This window comes from Homo sapiens, chromosome X, assembly GCF_000001405.40.
Source record: "Homo sapiens chromosome X, GRCh38.p14 Primary Assembly".
Lineage (NCBI taxonomy): Eukaryota > Metazoa > Chordata > Mammalia > Primates > Hominidae > Homo > Homo sapiens.
In genome coordinates this window covers 75,641,723-75,658,081 of record NC_000023.11, presented here as the reverse complement: position 1 = coordinate 75,658,081, position 16,359 = coordinate 75,641,723, and the positions used below count along the sequence as shown (strand labels likewise).

Below are 16,359 nucleotides of genomic sequence, written 5' to 3'. Positions count from 1 at the left end.
AGAAATCACCTTAGCATGCAGAAAACTTTTCCCTGGCAGTCTCCATTTGGAAGGATACAATTCCCATTGAGCACCTTCCATCACACACTTAAGAGCCTTGATCATGTAATCTTCAGCACACACCAGCAGAGGGTAGGCTCGACGATGCATGCAGTAGGTGCAGGGTTGCCCAAATAAAGACCCTGGTTCCAAAAAATCCCAGAAACATTTTGTGGAAATCCCCTCTCAGTAGTAATTCATTTCAAACAGCAATTATAGCACACAAAAGAGTGTTTTTTCCCTTCTTCTCCTCCCCTTCCCTTCTCTTTGTTAATGGCCTTACTATCCCCTTATTTGGTCAGAAAGTACCCTTATATACATATGCTCAAATACATCCAAACTCCTGCCAAATCCTGTAGGTTCATACTGCTACTGTGCTTCTATCTTAAAATCTGATCCTTCTCATCTTTTCCTGCTAGCATGGCCTAGTTCATGTCAATTTTCCTTCCATCTATATTTGGATGTTTCTGCCTATATAGGTTAGGTGCTGGGATATTAACCTCCTCTGGTTTTACTGTGTCCCTTCAGATTAAGCCACATTAAACAAGCCACTAAAATTATCTCTTTAAAACCTCAGTGTGTTTACCATCTGAATGTAGCTCTGTGATGGAAAAATCATGTCTCTTTGATTATTGTGGTGTTCTAGACACTTAGAAGAGCTCTTGGGGGCACAATAGACATTATGTATGGATGTAGAGGAAAGGGAGATAATAAGGAAGACTCCCTTTTGGTTCTTATTTTGCACAAGAGGTGAACGCAAATAACATTCAATGGAAGTGGATAAAATTAAGGACATCTCAGAGATGTCTGTCCTCACCACATCCAAAGCCTAGGCTTTTGCTTTTGTAAACATGCATATTCTCTTTCTCTTCCTTCTTTTCTATTACTATCCAATTACAAAGATTTAGATTATTTGATCAACTAGCTGCATCAAAGCCAGGTTAACATTTAATGGTATATAATTGTCTATTTTTAAAAACACATATATATGCATTTACAATGTATCAGGCACTGTTCAAGTATTTTTTAGAAATGTTAACCCATTTAATCATCATAACAACCCCATAAGACATGTAAAATTATTATCCTTATTTTATACATGATAAAATTGAAGTACAGGAATATTAATGAATTTTCTCAAGGTTATATAGCTATTAAGCAGTAGAGCTGGGGGTTTGGGTTCAGAGGTTGAGTGGCTAACCATTGGGCATGCTGCCTCAAATTGAATACATTTGTCCAGAAAGGACATAAGTTCACAACAGGATGTCCCCATTACACAGCTCTGGCATTCAGTTCTAGCAAGAGTAGGGTTCTGGAAGGCCTCTTCCAAAAGAGGCTCAGGCCAGTATTCAGGATCAGGAGTTTCTTGTGATCTTCCAATATCCCCAACAGTGACAGTCAACAGTGCAGCACAGCATTCAGACATGTGAGACAGTGTTGCCTAAACAATGAGAATAAAAGCCTTAAATCCTGAGTAGAATTTCTGCAATTGATAGTAATAGTAATCATTGGCATTTATGGAGTATTATAGGTAATTTACAGAAATAAATTGATTTAACCTGCACAGAATCCCATAAGGTGGGTACAATCATCCAAGTTTTAAGATGAAGAAACTGAAGCACAGAAAAGTTAAAAAATTTCCCAAAGCCTTGCATGCTAGGAATTAGGGAAGCTAGGATATAACTCTTAATAGCCTGGCTCCAGACTTATTGTCATTAATTAACATATGATACTGCTATCCTCTGGAACTAGATTCCAGCCACAGCAGAGGAAAAAAAAAAAAGGTCTTTCACTCAGAGATTAAAGAGAAACTACCAGAGGGTTCCCCTAATTCTTCTTCACTCAACTTCCTCTATTCATGTCAAGAGAATTTTCCTAGGCCTTCAAGGACAGCAACCATACTGCCCAGTATGCCAGTCCTATACCTTGTCCTCTGCCCAATATACATAGAGATTTCAAAGAGACATAATATCATCATCCTATTTGCTGCTCTCCTACACTTTTCCCTATCCAGTCTGCAACCCCATAAAGAGTAGACTAATGCTCTCCCACAGGGAGCAAGTGCTGCTACTCACACTGGCCATGACTGGATCAGTAACTCCTCATTAAGACATCTTGTATATCCTCTCCTTTGGCACTTTCTGCTTTTCCTGCTTTCTGCCTCCTTGTGGTGAGCAGACCTGTGTAGGGTTCACCTTATCACCATATTGCCACATCTGTCTGCTCTTCCACCTCTGCTACCCCTGTGGATAGATGAGTGAATGACATGAAGACAGGGTCTGCCAAGCAATCCAATCTCTCTTTCTTATTTGCACTCCCACATCCTCACTCCCTGATCAGACCATTCTAATAATCTTCTCTCTAGTCCTCGGTTCCATCTTCAATAATACTTCTAAAGACTCCACTTAAAATACAAATCTGGTCATTTACATTTCTCTATCACATAAAACATAGTTCACTCATGATGGCCAATCTCTTATGCTGGTGAGGTACACAATCTTCCTTCAGCAAACCTTGTCCTTTCATTTGGATCATTCATTTAGAAAGCATCAATACCACGACTAATGCATTGGCTTGTCAAGGAGTCAGTTCTGGTTTTTCTCCCAGAATACACTTTCCATCCAAGCTATGTTGCCAGTAATAATTATACAGAAGTTCTTAAAGTGGTAGTTTCCAAAATTTTATGGATATTTTAACATGAAAACTTTAAAATTTTCTGACACTTGTGTCACACTCCATATACATTAAATCAGAATGTCTGCGGGGTAAGACCCAGACATTAGTATTTTCTGAAGATCAACAGGTAATTCCAACAAGCAGCAAAATTTAAGAACCACTGCCTTAAAAAATTAATCACTACTGTGTCTCACAGCAACAACAGAAGTATAGAAAAGCAGGGTATAGGTATTTAGATACTCTTAAGGAAGAACTGGCTCTGAAAATCAGAGGTACTGCCCTGGTAAAGCCAGAATGGATATCTCTGTGCTCACCAAATCTGAAGCCAATCAGGGATAGATGACAGATTTCTAGCTTTCACTGATTGGATTTACAGCTAGCCCATATGCCCTGTTCATAATCCCAGCAAGCCTGAAATTGCAGACAGTAAGGGGGAGGGAATTGGGGTTACTGATGAATGCATATACAAATAGTATAACTTCTATAGTTTCTCTCTCTGAAGTATCTGCCAAGGCCAGCCCTTCTTTAATATTCATGCCATCACTGCCATAGTTAAGGTCTTAAGCCCACTCTCTGGGTTGATTGCAACAGCTTCAGAGTTGATTCACCTATTTCCAAACTCCGTCACACTCATCATTTCCCTACACTGATCTTGTCCTGATCTTATTCAGGAGAAGAGTCAAGGACTATAGAAATAATTGTTTTTCTAGCAGAGAGAACACAATAGACCTGGAGGTGATAAAACGGTAATGAGGGCACCTATAAATAAATTACCCACATTCTTTTAGATTTACACTAATGGACATTATCTTCAGGACAGTTCTGGGTATGAATAGTACAGGAAAGTCCCACCTATAAACTGAAGGATAGAGCAGAGAAAATGAGGAAAGACAAACCAAGTAGGATCCTTAAAGCCTCAAGAGCCTCCTGCCCAGTCTCCCCTTACATTCCTGGGGAAATGTGAAAGCAGGGCCAGAAACTTCAGGTGTACAAGTTAGTAGCTCTTAATGTATGCGAGTGACCCACCTCAGGCAGAACAAAGCAGATTGACATTCTTCTGATTACTCAGTCTTTACTCAAAATGCTTGTGGTATATCGCAGGGCCAAAAGTCAAAGGCCTCTTGAGTAATAGTTTCTTTCCTTTGCTAAGAAATCCATTAAGTCCTCCAATTATTTTCAGCCTTTGAAATTTTTATTTTAAAAATTAAGTCTTTTTTCATATATAGTTCTATGAATTTTAACATATGTATAGATTCACATAACGACTGCCTCATTAGGATACAGTACTTTTCCACCACCTCCAAAATTCCTTTGTGCTATCCTTTTGTAGTCATACCTTCCCCCATCCTTAATTTTTGGCTACCAGTAATCTGCCATCAGTCACTATAACTTTATCGTTTCAAGACTGTCATACAAAACCAAACATAGAGTATGTGACATTTTGAGACTGGCATTCTTTTACTGAGCATAATGCCTTTTAGAATCATCCAACTTGTGTGTATCAATAGCTTATTCCAATTTGTTCCTGAATAGTATTTCATAGTATGGATGTAACAAAGTTTATCTAGTCACCTATGGAAGGACATTTGAGTTGTTCATACTCTTTATTTATTAATAAAAGTGCTGCTATAAACAATGTACAGTTTATTGTATAATCTTAAGTTTTCATTTCTCTAAATAAAACACCTAGGAGTGGGACTGCTGGGTCATATGAAAAGGACATGTTCAATTTTTTTAAATCCAAATTATTTGCCTGAGTTGAAGTACCACTTTGCATTCCCATCAGTAATTTATGAGAGTTCCAGTTTCTCTGCATCCTTGCATTGGTATGATCAATATTTTTATTTTAGCCATTCTAATATCTGTGCAATCTTATCTCATCACTGTCAGCACTTCCCTAAATGGCTAATGATATTGAACATTTTTCATGTGCATACTTTCCACCCATAGATCCTCTTTGGTAAAATGTCTGTTCATGTCCTTTGTCCATGTTCTAATTTGTTTCTTTTTCAATGTTGTGTTTTGAAAGTTCATTATGTGTTTTAGATAGAAGTTCTTTGTTGGAAATGTGATTGATGAATATTTTCTTCAGGTCTGTCACTTGACTTTTTATTCTCTTTAACAAAGATTTTGCAAAGTAAGAGTTTCCATTTTAATAAAGTCAATTTTATTCTTATTTCTTTTATGGATCAGGCTTTTGGTGTCATATCTGAGACATTTTTGCCAGACTCTAGGTCCTGAAGATTTCCTCCTTTCTATTATTCTACATGTTTTATAGTTTTATGTGTTACATTTAGATCTGGGATCCACTTTGACTTATTTCTATAAGGTATGAGGTGCATTTTTTTTTTTTTTTTTGCTTATGGATGTCTAGTTTTTCCAATACCATTTACTGAAGAGACTATCTTTTCTCCATTCAATTGCCTTTCCACCTTTGTTAAAAATCAACTGATCAGGGGAGGGGCCAAGATGGCCAAATAGAAACAACTCCAGTCTGCAGCTCCCAGCAAGACCAATGCAGAAAAGTGAGTGATTTCTGCATTTCCAACTGAGGTACCCAGTTCATCCAACTGGGACTGGTTAGGCAGTGGAAGCGACCCACAGAGAGTGAGTAGAAGCAGGGTGGGGCGTCACTTCATCTGGGAAGTGCACAGAGCCAGGGGACCTTCCTCCCCAGCCAAGGGAAGTGGTGAGGGACTGTGCTACCTGCCTGGGATACTATGCTTTTCCCACGGATTTCTGCAGTCTGTGGATCAGGAGATTCCCTCATGTGCCTACAGCATCAGAGTCCTGAGTTTCAAGCACAAAACCAGGGCAGGCACCGAGCTGCAGGAGTTTTATCCTACTCCAGTGGCATCTGGAACTCCAGTGAGAAAGGAGAACCATCCACTCCCCTGGAAAGGAGGCTGAAGCCAGGGAGCCAAGCAGTCTCGTTCAATGGGTCCCACTCCCACGGAGCCCAGCAAGCCAAGAAACACTGGCTTGAAATTCTCACTACCAGCACAGCACTCTGGAGTTGGCCTAGGATGATCAAGTTTCATAAGGGGAGGGGTGACTATCATTCCCATAACTTTAGTAGGCAGTTTGCCCCTTACAGCGCTAAGGAGACTGGGAGGTTTGGACTGGGCAAAATTCACCACAGAGCAGCAAAGCAGCTGCAGCCAGACTGCTCCTCTAGATTCCTCCTCACTGAGCAGGGCATCTCTGCAGGAAATCTGGCAGCTCCCATCAGGGTCTAACAGACAAAACTCTGATCTCCCTGGGACAGAGCACCTGGGGGGAGGGGAAGCTGCGGTAGCAGGTTCAGTGGACTTAATCTTTCCTGCCTGCCAGCTCTAAAGAGAGTGGCTGATCCTGACAAGCAGGATACTCCCAGCACAGGGCACCAGCTCTGCTAAGGGACAGACTGCCTCCTCAAGCAGGTCCCTGACCCCTGTGCCTCCTGACTGAGAGAGACCTCCCAACAGGGGTTAACAGACACCTCATACAGGAGAGCTCCGAGTGGCATCAGGCTGGTGTCCCGAAGCTTCTGGAGGAAAGAGCAGGCAGTAATCTGCTGTTCCGCAGCCTCCACTGATGATACCCAGGCAAACAGGGTCTGAAGGGGACCTCTAGCAAACTGCAGCAGACCTGCAGAAGAGAAACCTATTGGGGGAAAAAAACAAAACAACAACAACAAACCCAGAAAGCAACAACAACATCAACAGAAAAGAACCACCCCCCAACACACACATAAACCCCATCCAAAGATCATCAGCCTCAAAGATCAAAGATAGATAAATCCACAAAGATGAGGAAAAGCCAGCACAAAAACACTGAAAACCCAGAATGCCTCTTCTCCTCCTAATGGGTGCAACACCTCTCCAGCAAGGGTGCAAAACTGGACAGAGAATGAAATAGACAAACTGAAAGAAGTAAGCTTCAGAAGGTGGGTAACAACAAACTGCTGAGCTAAAGGAGCATGTCCTAAGCCAATGCAAAGAAGCTAAGAACCTTGATAAAAGGTTACAAGAGATGCTAACTAGAATAACCAGTTTAGAGAGGAACATAAACGACCTGATAAAGCTGAAAAACACAGCATGAGAACTTCGAGAAGCATACACAAGTATCAATAGCCTAATTGATCAAGAGGGAGGAAGGATATCAGAGTTCGAAGACAATCTTGCTAAAATAAGGCATGCAGACAAGATTAGAGAAAAAATAATGAAAAGAAATGAACAAGAAAACGTCCAAGAAATATTTGACTATGTATAAAGACTGAACCTACGATTGATTGGAGTACCTGAAAGAGATAGGTAGAATGAAACCAAGTTGGAAAACACACTTAAGGATATTATCCAGAACTTCCCCAGCATAGTGAGACAGGCCAACATTCAAATTCAGGAAATACAGAGAACACCACTAAGATACTCCACAAGAAAATCAACCCCAAGACACATAATGATCAGATTCTCCAAGGTCGAAAAAAAAAAAAAATGGAAAAAATGTTACGGGCAGCAAGAGAGAAAGGTCAGGTTACCTACAAAGGGAAACCCATCAGACTAACAGTGGATGTGTCAGCAGAAACCCTACAAGCCAGAGGAGAGTAGGGACCAATATTCAACATTCTTAAAGAATTTTTAACCCAGAATTTTATATCCAGCCAAACTAAGCTTCATAAGTGAAAAATAAATAAAATCCTTTCCAGACAAGCAAACGCTAAAGAATTTTGTCACCACCAGGTCTGCCTTGCATGGGCTCCTGAAATAAACACTAAATATAGACAGGAAAAACCAGTACCAGCCACTGCAAAAATGCACCAAAATATATAAAGGCCAATGACACTATGAGAAAACAGCATCAACTAGTGTGCTAAATCACTAGCTAGCATCATGATGACAGGATCAAATTCACACATAACAATATTAACCTTAAAAATAAAGAGGTTAAATGCCCCAATTAAAAGACACATATTGGCAAATGGGGTAAAGAGTAAAGACCTATATGTGTGCTGTATTCAGGAGACACATTTCACATGCAAAGACACAGATAAGCTCAAAATAAAGGGATAGAGAAACATTTACCAAGCAAACGGAAAGTTAAAAAAAAAAAAGCAGGGGTTGCAAACCCAGTCTCTGATAAAGCAGACTTTAGACTAACAATTATCAAAAACGACAAAGAAGGGCATTACATAATGGTAAAGGGATCAATGCAACAAGAAAAGCTGACTATCCCAAATACACATGCACCCAATACAGGAGAACCCAGATGCATATAACAAGTTTTTAGAGACCTACAAAGAGGGGTAGACTCCCACACAATAATAGTGGGAGATTTCAACACCACACTGTTAAAGATCAATGAGACAGAAAACTAACAAGAATATTCAGGACTTGACCTCAGCTCTGGGTCAAGTGAACCTAATAGATAGGTAAGGAACTCTCCCCCCAAAATCAACAAAATATACATTCTTCTCAGTGCCACATGACACTTATTCTAAAATTGACCACATAATTGGAAGTAAAACACTCTAAAAATGCAAAATAACTGAAATTATAACAGTCTGACAACAGTGCAATCAAATTAGGACTTAGGATTAAGAAACTCATACAAAACCACACAACTATATGGAAATTGAACAACCTGCTCCTGAATAACTCCTGGTAAATATTGAAATTAAGGCAGAAATCAAGAAGTTCTTTGAAACCAACGGGAACAAAGAGACAATGTACTAATAAAGTGAGTGAGAGTCTCAAAGGGGGGAAATGAGAGAAGAGAAAAACGCTCTCAGATAGTTTTATATTGTTTTATACTCAATATCTGTCTTAAAAAAAAAAGGAAGCAAAACAAAAGGCAGGCAGCCTGGCACTGAGAACTGGACCCAAACCAGGCCTGGGCCTGCCTGGCCCAAGCCTAGTAGTTAAAATTCAACCCCTGACCTAGCCACTGATGTTATCTATAGATTCCAGACATTGTATGGAAGGACATTGTGAAACTTCCTGCTCTGTTCTGCTTCACTTTGACTACTGGTGCATGCAGCTCCTGTCACGTACCCCCTAGCTTGCTCAATCAGTCACGACCCTCTCGTGTGAAACCTTTAGCATTGTGAGCTCTTAAAAGGGACAGAAATTGTGCACTCAGGGAGCTCGGATTTTAAGACGCTAGTCTGCCAACACTTCCAGCTGAATAAAGCCCCTTCCTTCTACAACTTGGTGTCTGAGGGGTTTTGTCTGTGGCTTGTCCTGCTACATTTCTTGGTTCCCTGACTGGGAAATGAGGTGATTAACTGACAGACGGTCGAGGCAGCTCCTTAGGTGGCTTACACTTCCCTGTGGAGCATCCCTGCGGGGGACTCTGGCCAGCTTGAGCAATGCGGATCCTGAAAGGGCTCCTGGGTAGGCCTTTTCCCCGGTGGAACACATCATCAGAGCGGTGCATGGCAGGTCCCCACAGAGGATCAACGTAGTTGCTGAACACCAGGAAGGAGCTGGCACTTGGAGTTCGGACATCTGAAACTCGGTAAGACTGGGCTTTGGAACTTGCCCACTCCATTTGAGTGGAAGCGTGGCCTGATCACCCACGACATGCCTGTACCAGCACTTTGGTTTTTATTTTTGACTTGACTTGAACTGCTTGATACTTTGGTTTTGGTTTTGATCTGGCTTGGTTTTCTTGATACTCTGGTTTTGGTTTTGATTCTGGTTTGGTATAAACTGTAAAAGTGTGTGTGTGCCCTTTTTACCCATTCTTTGTTTTGTGGTGTGTATGTGGTGTGAGTGTAGTGTTTTTTTCTTGAGGAAGCATGGGGCTATTCTGTAAAAAAAAAAAAAAAAAAAGGATGATTTAACTTTAACCACTGAAAATTCCCTTAACCCACCAGGTTTCCTAACAGGAGATCTAAATCTTAATTGACATACAAAGGTCCAACCAGACCTAGGAGGAACTCACTTCAGGACAGGACGATAGATGGTTCCTCCCGGGTAATTGAAGGAAAAAAAAAATAGCCATCTATACCAATTCTAAGTTAGTTTGGACTAAACAAGGTCTTATTAATAGCAAAGGATAATTGAAATCCCAAACTTACAAGGTTTTCAACAAAAGTAAAGTTTGCTAAAAGTTAACAGTGTAACATGTATTATAGTAATTTCTAATCTTGTGGCCTTAGACAGTCTAGTCCACAGACATAAAGGAAGTTCGCTGTGGAAAGAATGGTTATCTTCGATAAAAGGGAAAAAAGGAGGGGGCAAAATTTATGTAAAAAAAGTTATATGGTAAATTCTTCTCCTGAAATAAATTAACTGGTTGTTTAAAGAAAAAAAAGTTTGTAATAAGTCAGAAAGTTAAAACATGTTGAAGAATTGCCTGTAAAAGTCACGAAAAAAAATTATTTTAAAAGTGTGTTAGAAAAAGAATTTATGCAAGAAATGTTGTATAATTTAAAAGTAATTAGGCCTCCTGAATGTAAAGCTATTGAAGAAACAGCAAGGTGTATAAGAAAAGTAAAGTATACCTTTGGTAAAGGGATTATAAGGAGGCATAAGAATGTGGACTTTTACCTATATTAAAAGGTTAAAAAATTGTTGTAAAGGTTTAAGCAAGTTTTAAGATGTTAATTGTGTGTAAATTATGTGTGTAAAAATATTAGCTAAAGTTAAAGGGGTATCATCCAGTTTTTCTGTGAACTGGACATTAAAGTAAAAACACAATGGGTTTTTCTTAAAGCACTAACCTGCTCTTCAACAAAGATTATAAAAGTTTGAAAAAAGGTCTACAAAAACCTTACCTTATGGTCTGACATTAAAAGTTGAATACATATGTCTACAAAGTTTTATTAAAACTAAGTTTAACATTAATGACACACTAATATAAAGGTGAAATTTAGCTTATCTGGTATAAACATCATACAAAAAGCATTATTAAATATAAAATGGTGTTTGGCTTTCTTTGGTCTAAAAACTAAAAATAGGTGCTAAAATAAATTTCTCAGTAAGAAGGCACCAAAGACTATAAAGTCCACTGTTGATGTCCCCACATTTAAAACAAAAGGTCAGTCTCTTAGAAATTATATACTTGGTTTATCTTCCACTTTCTTTTCCCTCAAAACTAAAAGTCTTGTAGCACAGGTAGCACCCCTAGAATTTCCGGTAAACCAGTGCCAGCCTGAAGATCACCTTCTAATCAAAGGGAGGAAAGAAGAAAAACTCGAGCCAGCCTAGGAAGGACCCTACCTTGTGCTACTAACCACCGAGACTGCTGTTCGTACAGCAAAAAAGGGATGGACTCATCACACCCCAGTCAAAGCCCCACCCCCTTGAGTTGTGGGCCACAGTCCCAGGGGAATAGCCTACCAAACTAAAGCTAAGAAAAATTTAACTCTTTCATCTATGCTATTACTCTTTCTTCTTTCATCGCTCTATTGCTGACCATCTAGTTATTAACATAACCAAGTCAACTTCACCTCAAACTATTGCATTTAATGCTTGCCTTGTTATACCCTGTGGGGACTTGCCAAGTCAAAGACAGCTCTCTACCTCAGAAAAGTACCCCTGTCCCTCCTGACTCTCCTCAGGTTAGGCATTAGTAAATTAGGACAATTTAATCCGGGAAAATTTCGATAAAGACTCCAGTGTCAACCAGGAGTCTTGCCACTCAATGTAGAGCTTTTATGCCATAGTTGGTCCAACATTCTGTGGACCACTAAAGAGCAAGGATGGACTGCCCCAACCGGTTTTTGTAATTTCCTAAAATCATACATTTTTTTTACTAGAGGATCATAGAAGTTAAAGACTTAAACTTTGGCAATTAAGACAAGATACCAAGATGCAAATGCCTGGTTGGAATGGATCAAATATTCCATCCGCACATTAAACAAAAGCCCAGATTGTCCCCTTTCCACTAAGGTGGTCCTCCAGTCGACCAGGTGTGGGCTGCATGGTAGCTTTTTTCCAGGATTCTACAGCCTGGAGTAATAAGTTGTGCCAAGCTCTCTCTGCTTTATCCTGAAGTCCAGCACCCTGCAGGTCAGCCCCCAAGGGCCATCCAGCTTCTGTCTCCCAACACTAAGTTCACCTCGTGTCTCTCACGACAGGGAGGAAACTTAGCATTCCTTGGAGACCTGAAGGGATGCAGTGAGCTTAAGAATTTTCAAGAGCTTATCAATCAGTCAGCCCTTGTTCATCCCCAAGCGGATGTGTGGTGGTATTGTGGTGGACCTTCACTGAGCACTCTGCCAAATAGCTGGAGTGGCACTTGTACTTTAGTCCAATTGGCTATCCCTTTCACCCTGGCATTTCATCAACCAGAGGGAAGAATAAGACATCGTAAAGCGAGAGAAGCCCCTTATGGGTCTTTCAACTCTCATGTCTATTTAGATGCAACTGGAGTCCCACGGGGAATACCAGATCAATTTAAAGCTTGAAATCAAATAGCTGCAGGATTTGAGTCAATATTTTGGTGGGTGACAGTTAATAGAAATGTAGATTGGATAAACTACATCTATTACAACCAAGAGCAATGAGCTTTTCATGAGTTAAAAGAAAAACTGATGTTGGCCCCAGCCCTGGGGCTACCTGACCTGACAAAACCCTTTACACTCTATGTGTCAGAAAAAGAAAAAATGGCAGTTGGAGTTTTAACCCAGACTGTGGGGCCCTGGCCAAGGCCAGTGGCCTATCTCTCAAAACAACTAAATGGGGTTTCCAAAGGCTTGACCCATGTCTAAGGGCCCTGGCAGCAATGGCCCTGTTAGCACAAGAAGTAGATAAACTAACCCTTGGGCAAAACCTGAATATAAAGGACCCCTATGCTGTGGTAACTTTGATAAATACCAATGGACATCAATGGTTAACAAATGCTAGATTAACCAAGTACCAAAGTTTGCTATGTGAAAATCCCCGCATAACCACTGAAGTTTGCAACACCCTAAACCCCAACGCCTTGCTCCCAGTATCAGAGAGCCCAGTTGAACATAACTGTGTAGAGGTATTAGACTCAGTTTATTCTAGTGAGCCCAACTTCCAAGACCATCCTTGAACATCAGTAGACCGTGAGCTGTACATGGACAGGAGCAGCTTCACCAACTCCTGCAAAGTGACTGAAGAAGAGGACAAGCGCTGCTCCAGTCACACGCAGAAGCTGACTGGCCCACACATGGCCGAAGCATGAGAAAACTCATCGCAGGACTCATTTTCCTTAAAATTTGGACTTGTACAGTAAGGACTTCAACTGACCTTCCTCAGACTGAGGACTGTTCCCAGTGTATACATCAAGTCACTGAGGTAGGACAAAAGGTTGCTACAGTCCTATTATTTTATGGTTATTATAAGTATACTGGAACTCTAAAAAGAACTTGTTTGTATAATGTTATTCTATACAAGGTATATAGCCCAGGAAATGACCAACCTGATGTGTTATGACCCATCTGAGCCTCCCATGACCACAGTTTTTAAAATAAGACTAAGGACTGAGGACTGGTGGGGGCTCATAAACTATATGAGTAAAGTGTTAGCCAAAACAGAAGAAAAAGGGGTGCCCAAAGAAGTCACCTTAAAATTTGATGCCTGTGCTGTCATTAATAGTAATAAGTTAGGAATAAGATGTGGTTCTCTTAATTAGAAAAGAGGCTATATGGCAGAAAATAAGTACATTTGTCATGAATTAGGCCTGTGTGAAAATGAACGTGGATACTGGTCTTGAGTCATTTAGGCTACTTGGATAAAAAATGAAAAAAATCCTATCCACCTTCAGAAAAGGAAAAGTGGCCCTTCCTGTACCAGTGGTCAGTGTAACCCCTTAGAACTAGTAATAACCAACCCCCTTAAACCTCGCTAAGAAAAAAGAGAGCGTGTAACCCTAGGAATCGATGGAGCTGGACTGGATCCTCAAGTAAATATCGTGGTTTGAGGAGAAGTTTATAAACGCTCTCCTGAGCCAGTATTTCAAAGCTTCTATGATGAACTGAATGTGCCAGTACCAGAAATTCCAGGAAAAACAAGAAATGTGTTTTTGCAATTAGTCGAGCATGTATCCCAGTCTCTCAATGTCACTTCATGCTATGTATGTGGAGAAACTGTAATAGAAAATCAATGGCCATGGGAAGCCTGAGAATTAGTACCTACAGACCCAGTTCCTGATGAATTCCCAGCCCAAAAGAATCACCCTGCTAATTTCTAGGTTCTAAAAGTGTCAATTACTGGAAAATATTGCATAGCTAGAGAAGGCAAAGAATTCACTCATCCTGCAGGACAACTTAGTTGTCTGGGACAGAAGCTGTATAATAGTACCACAAACAACAACAACAACAAAAACAGCCACCTAGTGGAGTTCATACCAGACTAAGAAAACTCCATTTAGTAAATTTCCAATGTTGCAAACTGTGTGGACCCACCTGAAGTCCCACCAGGAGTGGAGAGCCCCAACTGGATTATACTGGATATGTGGGCATAGAGTTTACGCCAAATTACCCAACCAGTGGGCAGATAATTGTGTTATTGGCACTATTGAACCATCTTTCATCCTACTGCCCATAAAGAAAGGCAAACTCCTGGGCTTCCCTGTCTATGCTTCCCGCAAAAAAAAAACAAAACAAACAAACAAAAAAAACACCATAGCTATAAAAAAAATTAGAAAAATAATGAATGCCCCCCCCCCCCGAGAGAATCATACAATACTATGGGCCTGCTACTTAGGCACAAGATGGCTTGTGGGGATACCAGACTCCCATTTGCATGCTCAACCAAATCATACAGTTACAAGCTGTCTTAGAAATAATCACTAATAAGACTGGCAGAGGCTTGACTATTCTGGCCCAGGAAGAAACTCAGATGAAAAATGCTATCTATCAAAATAAATTGGCTCTCGACTACTTGCTAGAAGCTAAAGGAGGAGTTTGTAGGAAATTTAACCTTACTAATTGCTGGCTACACATAGAAAATCAAAGACAGGCAGTTGAAGATACAGTAAAAGACATAACAAAACTGGCACATGTGTCTGTATAAGTGTGGCACAGATTTGCCCCTGGGGCCATGTTTGAAAGGTACTTCCCAGCACTACGAAGATTTAAAACCCTAATAATAAGAATTATAATAATAATAGGAACCTGCTTACTGCACCCTTGTCTACTACCTATACTAATTCATGTAATAAAAAGCTGCTACCCTAGTTCATCAAAATGCTTCAGCACAAGTGTACTATATGAATCACTATCAGTCTATCATACAGGAAGACATAAGTAGTGAAAATGAAAGTGAGAACTCACACTAATAAAGTGAGTGAGAGTCTCAAAGGGGGGAAATGAGAGAAGAGAAAAACTCTCTCAGATTGTTTTATACTCAATATGTCTTGAAAAAAAAAAAAAGAAGTGAAACAAAAGGCAGGGAGCCCAGCGCTGAGAACCAGACCCAAACCAGGCCTGGGCCTGCCTGGTCTAAGCCTAGTAGTTAAAATTCAACCCCTGACCTAGCCACTGATGTTATCTATAGATTCCAGACATTGTATGGAAGGACATTGTGAACCTTCCTGCTCTGTTCTGTTTCACTCTGACTAGCGGTGCATGCAGCCCCTGTCATGTACTCCCTAGCTTGCTCAATCAGTCACGACCCTCTCATGTGAAAACTTTAGCATTGTGAGCCCTTAAAAGGGACAGAAATTGTGCACTCAGGGAGCTCGGATTTTAAGACGCTAGTCTGCCAATGTTTCCAGCTGAATAAAGCCCCTTCCTTCTACAACTTGTTGTCTGAGGGGTTTTGTCTGCGGCTTGTCCTGCTACAACCTGACAAAAACAAGTAATGGGGAAAGAATTCTCTCTTAAATAAATGGTGTTGGAAAAACTGGAAGTCATATGCAGAAAACAGAAACTGGACCCCTTCCTTACACCTTATACAAAAATTAACTCAAGATGGATTAAAGACTTAAATGTAAAACCCCAAACCATAAAAACCTTAGAAGAAAACCTAGGTAATACCATTCAGGACATAGGCATGGGCAAAGACTTCATGATGAAAACACCAAAAGCAATTGCAACAAAATCCAAAATTAACAAATGGAATCTAACTGAACTAAAGTGCTTCTGCACAGCAAAAGAAACTATCATCAGAGTGAACAGGTAACCTATAGAATGGGAGAAAATTTTTGCAATCTATCCATCTGACAAAGGTCTAATATCCAGAATCTACAAGGAACTTAAATTTACAAGAAAAAAACAAACACCACCATCCAAAAGTGGGCAAAGGATATAAACAGACACTTCTCAAAAGAAGACATTTATGTGGTCAATAAACATATGAAAAAGAGCTCAACATCACTGATCATTACAGAAATGCAAATCAAAACCACAATCAGATACCATCTCATGCCAGTCAGAATAGCAATTATTAAAACGTCAAGAAACAATAGATGCTGGCGAGGCTGTGAAGAAATAGAAATGCTTTTACACTGTTGGTGGGCACGTAAATTAGTTCAACCATTGTGGAAGACAGTGTGGCGATTCCTCAGGGATTTGGGACCAGAAATCCTATTTGACCCAGCAATCTCATTGCTGGGTATATACCCAAAGGATTATAAATCATTCTACTATAAAGACACATGCACATGTATGTTTATTGCAGCACTATTTACAATAGCAAAGACATGGGAACCAACCCAAATGCCCATCAATGATAGACTGAA

The 16,359-nt window shown here is 40.2% G+C and overlaps 1 long non-coding RNA gene across 8 annotated transcripts in view; it reads right to left on the bottom strand.

Annotated features, from left to right (window-relative positions):
* Window positions 1–16,359, bottom strand: part of LOC107985664 (uncharacterized) — a 270,484-nt gene that overhangs the window by 135,529 nt on the left and 118,596 nt on the right. For 2 of the 8 annotated variants that reach the window (XR_001755889.2, XR_001755885.2), the window contains one exon: window positions 1,060–2,282. The exons of 4 other annotated variants lie outside the window; for them this stretch is intronic. This is a non-coding gene — a long non-coding RNA (uncharacterized LOC107985664). Of the gene's footprint in view, window positions 1–1,059; window positions 2,283–16,359 lie in introns of those variants that run through there. 2 more of the 8 variants (XR_001755890.2, XR_001755893.2) reach the window with 2 other exon arrangements.